Here is a 12022-nt window from a genome sequence, read left to right on the forward strand (position 1 = left end):
TCAGAAACGGGAAGGGATAGGCCTGCTGCTAGCCCATAGGGCGACTTTGTGCAAATTAGCAAAGTCACCCTACATGGATGGAGGCACTCTTGAGCCAAAGTGAACAGCCTGCTGAGAAGAAGAGTCCCAGAGCTCAGGCCCACAGTAGATAGATCCCTTGTGCTTTAGAAAGGGGTTTGCTCAAAATCACAAAAACGAGTTGGCAGAGAACTGGGATCAGATTGACAACCTCTTTGCACAGACAGGATTAACTACATATGGAAAACAAGTAGCTCCTGAGCTCTTGCACAGGATTCCTTGTAAAAAAGCTTGGATTTCACACTCCGTTGCTAAGTTTTCCTTGTGGCCCTTTTAATGATGGAAAGGGAATGGCAAACAATTGCCACATGTACATTCCTTAGAGACATTTCACACATAGCTGGTGGCCCAGAAAAACCTAGTACCTGCAAAGAAATGAGGAGGCCCTAGTAGCTGGAGAAGGGGAAACCCTAATCGCCTAGTTCAGAATCATCATTTAAGAAAGCAAAGTCAAACCCCAAAAGACAGTTTTGTTCTGAAATTGTAAACAGCCAGCATAGAATAGCTATGAGAGAATAGGGCCTCATTTCAAAGCAACTCATAACATTTTTCACTACTGTAATACTGCATGTGACTTCTGTGATGAAATCATATTATGAAGGACAATTTCAATTGGGATTAGAAGAAACATATACCACAGCTTAAGCAACAGGAGCCTGTGTCAAAAGTGTTCCAGTTAACACATCATCCCCTTTGTTCTACAGGCAACCTTATTACTCTTATCTTATCCTTTCATATTCTGAATTTCCTTTTCTGTAGAACCTTGGTGATTTCTGCCCCCTGTATTGCCTTGGGAAGACTTCTTTCTGTTCCTTTATGGGACTGGCATGTCTAATCTTTAGGTCACAGGTCAGCAAACTTTTTCTATAAAGGGACAGATAGTACATTTTTTAGGCTTTGGGGCCCATATGGTCCCTGTCACAACTATTCAATTTTGCCATTGTAGCACAAAAGCAGCCACAGGCAATATATAAAATCATGGGTCTATACCCTTGTATTCCAGTAAAGCTTTCTTTTGCTTTTTCGTTTTTTTTTTTTTTTTAGACAGTCTCGCTCTGTCACCCAGGCCGGAGTTCAGTGGTGCGATCTCCGCTCACTGCAATCTCTGCCTCCCAGGTTTAGGAGATTCTCCTGCCTCAAACTCCTGAGTAGCTAGAATTACAGGCATGTGTCACGACACCTGGCTAATTTTTGTAATTTTAGTAGAGACGGTGTTTCACTATGTTGGCCAGGTTGGTCTCAAACTCCTGGCTTCAACTGATCTGACCACCTTGGCCTTCCAAAGTGCTAGGATTACAGGTGTGAGCCACTGCACCCAGCTAGCCTTCTTTATAAAAAGGTGGTACTAGATTTGGCTCCTTGGTCACAGTGTGCTGATCCTTGCTCTAGGTGGTACTGGGTGTGGGTGGGCAGAACCTGAGCTCAGCTTATAGACACAAGTTGTGAAAGCCACCAAGAGGCTCCTGGGCAAATAGAAATTAGCAGGTAAGATGGCAATGGTGGGAAGTCCTTCATCTGATTCTATCCTTGACATCATTAAGCTGACAAGAAAATTAAACTGAGAAGATTGATGTAATGCAGTAAGAAAAGGGACTTACCTGGAGCATGGATGCTTCATTCTAAGATATATCCGAACACTAGCTTCCATGGCATCTGTCTAAGTACTATGACATTAATAAACCAAGAGTCTGCTAGTCAGGTGGTCTCCTTTACATTTCTTCAGGATACTAAAAAGACAACCACCAAAGAGAAGGTCCTAATAACAGCGGCATATTTAAGAATTCATGTATCTTGGCTGGGCACAGTGGCTCATGCCTGTAATCCCAGCACTTTGGGAGGCTGAGGCGGGTGGATCAGCTGAGGTCAGGAGATCGAGACCAGCCTGGCCAACATGGTGAAACCCCATCTCTACTAAAAATACAAAAATTAGCCAGGCATAGGGGTGGACGCCTGTAATCCCAGCTACTCAGGAGGCTGAGGCAGGAGAATAACTTGGACCCCAGAGGCGGAGGTTGCAGTGAACCAAGATCACGCCATTGCACTCCAGCCTGGGTGACAGAGCAAGACTCCATCTCAAAAATAAAAGAAAATAAAAAGAATTCATGTATCTTGTATTTATTTAGGCAATTACATTGAGTTAAACCTGAATAACCGGAAGTTTTATTTTGTTTTTGTTGTTGTTGTTTTTAGGAGTGAATAAAACACAAGGAAGATTTCTCAGAGGGCTAGGGTCTGGAAGACATTACATTGACCACATGCTTTACCCTTTATTGGGAACAGGAAACCTCTGCTCATCCGTAACCAATAGACAGCAGCAGGAAGTCATGATGATATATCTTCAGACATCACAACTCTTCATTTGCTAATTATCAGAACCCAAGGTCAACTTTTTTTCATAATTAAAAAATGTTCAGTTCCCCAGATTAGACCATAATTCCTCCAAAGTAAAGATGGCATTTTATACTTCTTCATATTATTACATCCTTGCCTAGTATTTTAGAATAATATAATAATTGCTAACATTTTGGGAATAATTATTCAGTGCCAGGCACTATTCAAAATGTTTTAAGTCCCTTCTCATTTAATAACCTCACAACAACCTATGAGCTGGGAACTCGTATTATTATTATTCCATATTGACAAATAGTGGCACTGGGACACAAAGAGTTTGTATATCTTGCCCAAAACAATGCAGCTAGAGGTGGTGGATCCCAGATTTGCACTCAGGCATCCCAGCCCTAGAGCCTGTGGTCCTAACTTCTGTATAATGCTGCTTACGATAATGCAACCAATATAGGTGATCAATAAGTATTTGGGGTTGTCAGTAGTGACTCTGAGAGGAGGGAAAAAAACAAACAAAGTCTGAGTTGAAGCTCAGCCAAATTGTGCATAATTATCAGTAAACTCCTCCTGCTCCACTCTCCCATGATGTAGAGAATGTTACCCTTTCTTGAGGGCTCCTAAACACAGCTAAGCTCTAAGAGTGGCAGCTGCCAGTGAAGAGTCTTGGAAGACATGTCTGCAGCTCTGTAAAGAAAGCCCCTCCTTCAATAGCTGCAGGCTGGAAGGCCCTGGGAATATACCTACAGCCAGGAATGGAGCACCCTCTCAGAGCCTTCCCTAAGGGGACATGGGTAGAACAAATGACCCCTGGGCCAGCCTACTCCTCCCCCCGAATGCTCCTCCCACCCCCACTCCTCATCTCTCTCTCTCCAAGATCCTGTTTCTGAGAAGGGCAGGGAACAAGCACCCTGACTTTCCTAGTGACCGAGGTAAGGGCTAGGGTCGCCTGAGGAGGAGGAGGGAAAGAAAGAGGCACCATCAAGCTTGGGCTAGAAATTATGACTTTGTTCATTAGACCACTTGATTTTTTCCTCCTCAGTATCCAGATTATTTCCATTTTACTTTTTCTTTCTTTTTCCGTTAAAATGTTTTAAATTCTATACACTATTTTAATCTCTCTCTTTGTTCTTTTTAACATTGACATTTGGGAGTAGAAAATGTAGTCTAATTATAGTTTTAATTGCATTCCATGGTGTATATAAGGAGGGTTATATTTCTATTGTCTTCTAATATATTGTGTTCTTGGCTTCTGTCATTCAAAAAATAGTTATTTAATGTTTTTGAGCAATAGGATAGCTTTTAATTATTTTAGTATTATATACTTCCAAAGTCATTGTATCATGTTAGGAGAAAGTCGTGTGGAAAAAAATTGACTTTTGTTTAACCAAGAATATTTTAAAATGGATCCTATTATTTTTGTAAAATATCTCTGTATTCTTAAAATTAATTTTATCTCTTATTTTTAAAGCTTTTTAAACTTCTGTTAAATCACTTCCAATGAAATATGGAACAAAACTGTTTGATTTATTCTGCTGCTCAAATATATAATTTATTTATCATTGCATTCTTTGCCTAACATATTTTTATAATAGGTTACAAAGATTCTCTGCATCTAATTATTTCAGAGTCAAAGAAGTTATACTCTGATCCTGGTTTATCTTTAATCTGCTGCAAAGATAATTTGGCTCAAATTATTGCACATCTCTGGGCTTAGGTTTTTCTTATTTATTGGCTCAAATTATTGCACATCTCTGGGCTTAGGTTTTTCTTATTTATAACACAGAGAGTTAAATAAAATAATATCAAAATTTCCTTTTGACAACAGCATTCTAGGAGAGCTTACAGTGAGGCTTACATTTACCAGCAGGCATATCTTCCCCCTTCCTTTCTGCTAGAAGGTAACCCTTTCAACCAAGTTTCACCTGATAAAAGAAGGGAAGGAAAGCTCCAATAGACTCTAAGAATCAACTGCTGTCCTTAGAAGGAAAAAGAGTCCTCTCTTCTAATTCCTTAGACATACACACTCACACACACACACACCCAACACATATATCATATACGATATGATGTCAGAATGTAAACTTTTCAATAATCAGTCAAAACGTACCAATTAAGAAATGTGTATCCTAAGCAGCTGGCAAATATTTGATAAAAGGATTGTTTTCTTTACTCGAGGACAAAAATCAAAAGGCCACAAGCAGAGGGACCTCAACAACCTATATCTCCCAAGCAATGCTGCTGATGAGGCTAAGCCATTGAAGGGATCAAATGGAACAATCACAGAGAAATGCCAGCCTCAGAGGGAATAAACAGAATCTTCAACTTCTACAGCTAGGCTGAAAACACAGCATCTCAGCTGGATTTTATGCAAGTCATTTCCATAAAAGATTCAGACATAAACCAAGAATTGGGGCTTCTCAGACACCTGAAAATATCCCCCATGGATTGGGGATATTGAAACTATATGATTTGAATTGGTTTCAGCTTATAACCATACATTTGCTATGAAAACATCCAAAAACACAGGTGAAATAAATGTACATATCAATGAGTAAGAAAATTGGAGACTTTTCCAGACTATATAATTGGACCATGTAAAAGACAAGATAACTTCTAAGATTCTTTCAATCCTGAGCTGTGCAATACAAATAAAGCAAAAATTCACTAGCACGCCACGTATTACACCCTGGATTGAACTCAATCATACTAGACCACTTAACCTAGGAATTCCAAACGAAATTCTTGACTCCCAGGCTCTCTGAGATATCCATTGTGTCAGACCATTAGCCTCAGAAGCATGCTTTGGCTTACCCTAGATCTTACAAAAATCAAAGTTTGGAATTTCAACCACCGATCTAGGACTTATATTTCAACATTCTCTCTTCAACTTAGCTTTCCACTGTCAGCAGGTTTTTGCCTGCAACATAAAGTGACCAATCTACTGATCAAGAATGGGTCTGAGATAGACTAGATGGCTCCCCTGAGCCCATCACCAGCTGAAGAGAAATGGCATTTGGGGGACACTGAAGAGGAGATGGCAGTGTCCAGGAGTGAAGAAGTCAGAGGAACCCTGAGAGAGAAAAACAGGTTCTCCTAGAACTTTACCTTGAAAAACTGGGGTAACAAAAATAAAGACCACTGCACTTTTACTTACATCAATTCCTGGATTGAAATTTTCTCTCCTCTTTGAATATTAAAATCCTATTTGGAAACCTAGTTTACTCTCCTTCTCTATAAGTCTTTCTCAAACCCACCCATCTCACAAATTGGTCCGTTCTCAGGACTCAAAAGGCTTCTCCTTCATCCATCTAGCAGTCATATTCACACTGTCTTGCATCATCTCACATTCCTGTTTGGTGACATCATGTAACTATAACACTATTATCGCCTTTTCACATGTGTGTACCTCAATTCTTAAATTTAATTTTAACCTTCCTCAGAGTGAAGTCCATCACTATTTTAGATTTTTTTCTCTAAGGCAGCAAATTGCATGTGGTAGGTGTTCAATATATGCTAGCCGATCACATGACTAAAGAAGGCAAGCAAAGAAGAAAGAAGGAGCTGGGGAAAGGTAATGCAGGACAAAAATGTCCCTCGGTAGCCAGAAGGTAGACCTGTTGTGAAGGAAAAGTAATCAAAATTCCACACAAGCTAATAAGAAACAGTACATGGTAAACAACTGAAAATGTCTGTTGAATTGAAGAAAGGCGGTAAGGAATGAGCAGATGGATATAAAGGAAGAAAAGACGAAAGGAAATGATAAAAGAGAAGAAAGTGGAGACGAGAAGGGAGGAGTGAGAGAAGATGGGAGAAGGGAAGAAAGAGAAGGAGAGAAGAATAGAAGGAAGGAAGGATGGAAAGGAAAATGGAAGGAAAGATTAAAAAGGAGTGGAAGAAAGGATGAAAAGAAGAGTAGGGAGAATGGAAAAAAAGAGGAAAAGAAGGAATAAAGGACAAGTCTTACCCTTGTATTTCTGGATCTTCCATTTTTATATACTTGTTCCCTTTCTATTTCCAAAATAGCTCTTGGTGTCTTAGAGGGCACCCGGCACCTAGTTCCAGGCTCGTTGATGCACCTACATAAAGCTGTATGTGAACCACATTCACTCTGATTTTGTGCTTCACTGGCCAGCAAACACCATCTCCTGAAAGTACAGCACCACCGATCCTGGGAAGTCAGCCCCAGAAAAGCTGCATTTCAAGGCTCAGGGTGTAGAACTCAAGGACATTTGGGCAAAAGCCTGGGATGTCACTGGCTCTCCAACAGGAGTTATAGCGGGAGGCCTTCTCCTCTTATTAGTGCCAAGGCATCACATGACATGCTCAGCCCACCGGCTTCCTGGGCAGCCCATCAGGGAATCAGGGCTCAGAGGCTCCACGGGGTGGGGGCAGGGGAGAATCTTTGAGGATACTCATTGGCACACAGCCATGCCTCCCTCACTGCCAACTCCCTGAGGCGCTGCTATCACTCCTCCTCCACCCACCCCTAAAGACCCAGATGCTCAACTCAGAGTGTGCCCCCAGACAACACAGGAAGGTTGGATGCCCAAATCTTGGCAAATGTACAACTCTTTGTGGCAATCCTAAAAAAGAGCCTACCCAAGACGTCTCCATTTGCTCCCTTTTCCCTCTAACAGAAATGCCATAGTGTGTGAGTGTTAATGTATATATTTTTAAAAAAGAATTTTGCCACATAGAAGACATCTATTGCTGAGACCAAGAAGGAGTTCTTGATGGGAAAAGAAGGTGTATGCTTTAGGGATGTCCATAAACCCCCAAAATCAGATGCACACAATTATGTGGGCTTGATTTTTCTGGTTAGAGAGTCCATAGTTTTTAGCAGTTTCTCCAAGGGAACTGTGGCATGAACAATATTTTAAAACTACTATCCTGTACTCCTGAGGAGAAGCAAAGCAAGTTGTCAGGGGTTTGCTAATCAGGAAAAGAGTGATTGATTGATTAATTTGCCAACTGAGTTTCATGAAAATGCATTTTCTAGAATTAACCTATTTTGCTAAAATGACAACTGAATTTTGAAGTAGGGACTTTCTTCCCCTAGCACCCCTCATCTTTATGTCTATCTGTCTGTGTCCACCAGCTCTACAGCCTGTGTCTGCTAGGAAAGACCATTTAAACTTGTAACACTTCATTAAGCACATTTCCACCACCATCACAACTCTCTACATTAAAGCAAACCAGTTCCAAATGGGCAAGCCTTGGAAATGCTCTCATATCTGCCTATCCAAACTCATGCTGCAGAAATAAAATGGGCAGCTTTAGAGGAGATTATGGCTTTAATATACCACATCATTGTCATGAAATTGAAAATATCACTGAAAGAATAACCAGGGATATACATGAAATATTTAAGCATGCCCTAATATAGCACTGCTGGGACCTGAAGAGTGATTCGATTGCTACAGAATAAAATGAAGCTTAGGAAAATTAGGGCGATGCACTTGAGCAACCACCAAAACGTGAAATAATGGGAAACTCTGCTTTATCAAGAACTTTTTAAAAAGCTGTTTGCAGACTCTGCAGCTGTTAATCACTCTTCACATATGGCATGGCTGTCACCTTTATGAATCATGTTTTAACTTGAAAAGATTTCCTTTATTACCTTTCCATTTTCACATTCCTAAGGAGTTGTGAAGCAAACAAAAAAAAAATAGGAAAAGCTCTGAAGTTCTCAAAGCCAGGAACAATATTTACAAATAAAACAAGCAAGAAAGCAAGTTGAAGTTTTAAATTATGTCCAATTTTGTGAGACCAAATATTAGCATCTTCACTTCCAAGCTACAGAAACAGTCTCATTTCTTATTAAAAAAAAAACTTCTACACTAAGACTTTACCTTGATTGCACATGAAATCTAAGCCCACCTTGGTGAGTAAGAGAAACAGTCATACAGCTATTGTTTTAAAGTTTAAATCAATTTGATTCAAATTAATAGGTACAGTATTGCATAAATCTGTGACAAAATGCATCTGAAAAATAAATTTGATGAATGATGACATATATTATTGAGACATATAAAGATCTACATATACAGGAATAGGAAAGGTTTACAATCATATAATTTGTCCATTTACTTTTAAAAACAGAATAATAAAGGCAACTGATAAAAAAAAATTCAGCATTCAGGAAAATTCAGCATAATGCTCTCCCTTGACCCAATGATGCCACTTTACTGAAATGCAATATTAGCCAAATTCATGCTTTTGATTTGCAGATCAAAAAGCAATCCCTCTGCTTTTTGTTTTTGAGTAATGGTTCTCAAAAGTTCTAATAAGAATTAGAACTGTCAGAAACAAAAAGTCTAAAAAGGAACAAAGGCTGCCCTTCAGCCAAGAGGACCAGATAAAGTCTATTTATGCAACATTCCTGTGTCTATCTGTCTGTCCGTGCCCACTAGCCCTACAGCCTGTGTCTGCTGGGAAAGGCCATTTAAACTTGTGACGCTCATTAAGGACATTCTCACCACCATCATGGATCTCTAAATTAAAGTCAAACCGATTCCAAATTGGAACTTAAAGGTACAAGAGTCAGAACGCGGCACAAATTGCATCATGCCAGTGTCAGTCCCATCCTGTTCCTCTTACCCTTCTCTTCCCAAATGGAAAAAAGTGACCCGTCCTGCACATGGGAGACAAGAGCTTGTGAAGGGCTTTCCCCCTCCTCAGCCCCAGGTTGTTCACTGCCTGCCTGCTTTCAGCCATCCCATCCTGCCATAGAGAGTAAGTCACTTACCACAGATGGGAGGCAGGCAGGGCTGCTCCGTCTGAATCCCAGCACTCTGAAGGCTGGAGTGCCTGAGAGGAAAACTCTGGGTACAGCCTGGGATTCTGATGTGGAGGCTGAGGCTGGGGCTCTGCTCACACCTTAGCAGAGACAGCGTGCCTCCCTCTAAAATGTCTAAATTAATAAATGATAACCCCATGGTCAAATCTGTGGAGCTGAGCTGAGAGAAACTCCGGCTGTCTTCTCAGGAAAGGGGGACTGTGGGAACTCCAGTTCCTGAAGGGTGGCATAGTATATGCTTTGAATTGGGAGTCAGCTACCTTAATCATATCATAAAGCATGAACATTTCTTTCAGGATCACATGTTTTACACTTTTTTTCCCTGGGGGATGGAAGGAGGACAATAAGAGCTAGATGATCACCATCATCTCCACCCCTCCAAGTAATTCATCCATAGCTCTCCAACTCCCTAAAGAGTAATTTTGGAAACCAGTGGAAGTGTGATTTTCACCTATGATTTTGGTACATGAGTGAAGGCACTCACAGCAGGTCATCACAGGACACTGTTAACCCTAGCCCCGCACAGCTGGAACATGCCCAAAATTGCACCCGCACACGAGGAAGTCTCAAATGTTGCTGAACACAAACAATAAACAGTATGTTCTTCAACCCCACTTCCATAAGCCAACTCAAAACAAGCACAAAGCACAACTTTGATGCTCTCAACTCTTAAATCCCCTTTTTTCTCTCCAGGTAAGATTCTTGATAGCACTGTGACAGCAGATGGTCATGCTTTTTGTACCTGCCTGATAATTCCAGCTGATGCTAAATAAATCTGACTGATGGTGATTCAAGAGACTGTGGCTGTCACATTGGCACACTGGGATGCAGAGAATCAAAAGTGTTTACGTTTGCCTCATCACCTCTCTTGCTAATATTATGTAGAATGGTCATGCAAGAAGGATCCTTAGAGATTAAATAAAACACATTGATTTTATAAATGGGTAAATGGAACCCACACCATAAGTCATTCATCTAGAAATATATAATCATTCATGCCACAAGTACTTACTGTGTGCAAGATCCTCACAATGCATAGCAACAAAGTTCTACTACTTAGCTATTTGGCCCATAGTTCATATTTCAGAATAATAGTCCTTTGGATTTTTTGAACCCTATATATGTTTCCTATGTAGGTTCCTGGAGATGGCCAAATAAAAATATGCTCCAAATGCAGGGGTTGTCTAACTTTTTCTATCAGGAATCAGATAGTAGGCGGTGCACATCATGTGGTCGCTGTTTCAACTATTCAGCTCTGACATTATATGGTGAAAGAAGCTATGGACAACGACAGGTATGACAGTATTTCTACAAAACTTTATTTATGAAAAAAGTGTGCATACTGAAATTGACACATGTGCTACAGATTGCTGATCCCTGTTCTACTGGATCTCATTTGACAATGACCTTTTTTGGGCTGCAGACTTCAAGTTTGCCTTAATCAGATCTTAATTTACCTCAAACCTCCCCATTCATAGAAGTTAAAAATGTATGTATAAAGGAAAGAAATCACAGAACAAGGAGCTTAGGAAGTAAACTTTGTAACCACCTATTGGAAGTATTCACAAAACACAGGAAGGGAATCGGATTCACAAATAGAACTGTTTCTCTCCATCCAAGCAAAGTGGAATAGAAGTTTCGATCTAAGTAACCAAGAACCAGGCCTCCCAAATTGGATATTACCTCTTCTCCCCAGCATAGGGAAGATGATATTCCCATAGGATTAGGCAGGTCCCTATTATTCCACCCCATAGAAAATAACTGTCAACCATTTCTGCTGAAGACAGCAAGTCTATTTCCAGGCTGCTTAGCTTGACTGGCAAGTCAAATACAGGGCAGACATGGACATGTAGGATCAGAAGGCAGGTCTGGTCTTCCCTGAGCCCATTCCCTGGGCAGGGGTAGGTAAGTAAGGAACAAGGAGACCCACCTATCTTCCCTGTTTGTGCCTGCTTTAGAGAAAAGGAGTTCTTAAAAGCAGCCCTAGCAATCTGTGAAACCAACAGGGTTCATCATTCAGAGTGAGAATATGCATTGTTCCCATGGAACCATTGAGTCAAAATTTGAGAATTCTTGACAAGTAACTCACAACTTCTTAAAGAATAAGAAACTCAGGTAAAAGAGTTCCCAGGAGGTGGCCCCTCATGGGACAGCACAGATTCCTGCTTGATGTTGCATAAAAAAACAGGTACAACTTGCCGTACAATCACTGATGCTTGGACCTTCCTGCAAGTGCTTCTCTCCAGAAATGTATTTCCTGTACACAAAGATGCTATACAAAAAAAAAATAATAATAATAATAATCCATGCTGCCTGAGGTCAGCTGGCAGAGATGCTTCACAGTGAATTTCAGCTTCTACTAAAATGACAAATGATCATCTGCACTTTTTTGACTTGTTTGGTGGTGAGTTGTGCCTGATGTCAAACATCTGGATAAAAATTTTAAAAGTTGTTCAGCAAACCAGTGATTTAGATGTTTGGTGTCAAAAAGACCAAACAGTCAGACAACTATCTGATTCCCTGTTTTCTAACTTCTTATCCAAGGATCTGCTACATCCATATAATCACAGTAACCTTACTGCAGCAGCCCCCGTCATTCGCTTGTTTCCATAAAAATAAAAGGCAATCTGAGTTCATTGATCACCGATTGAGAACCACATGGAATTATGTCAGCTCCGATTCAGTTGAATTTACTCAGTTAAACTTAATGATGCTATAAAGCATTCAGAGTCAGCCAGAGCATCAAAGTGTCTGAACAACCACGGACCATTACACACCAAGATAAAATATCTATAGAACATC

At 40.4% G+C, this 12022-nt stretch overlaps 1 protein-coding gene across 7 annotated transcripts in view, besides 1 other annotated feature; it reads right to left on the bottom strand.

The window, feature by feature from the left end:
• CPNE4 (copine 4) overlaps positions 1-12022 on the bottom strand; it is a 506038-nt gene that overhangs the window by 477501 nt on the left and 16515 nt on the right. The gene's annotated exons all lie outside the window — the stretch shown is intronic.
• Positions 5370-6569: an enhancer, noted in NCBI's record as "MED14-independent group 3 enhancer chr3:131735283-131736482 (GRCh37/hg19 assembly coordinates)". NCBI's record gives its function as "activates an origin of replication core promoter dependent on BRD2, BRD4, P300/CBP and CDK7 cofactors, and independent of MED14, by STARR-seq in HCT116 cells {active_cell/tissue: HCT116}" and the evidence as "EXISTENCE:reporter gene assay evidence [ECO:0000049][PMID:35650434]".

This window comes from Homo sapiens, chromosome 3, assembly GCF_000001405.40.
Source record: "Homo sapiens chromosome 3, GRCh38.p14 Primary Assembly".
Lineage (NCBI taxonomy): Eukaryota > Metazoa > Chordata > Mammalia > Primates > Hominidae > Homo > Homo sapiens.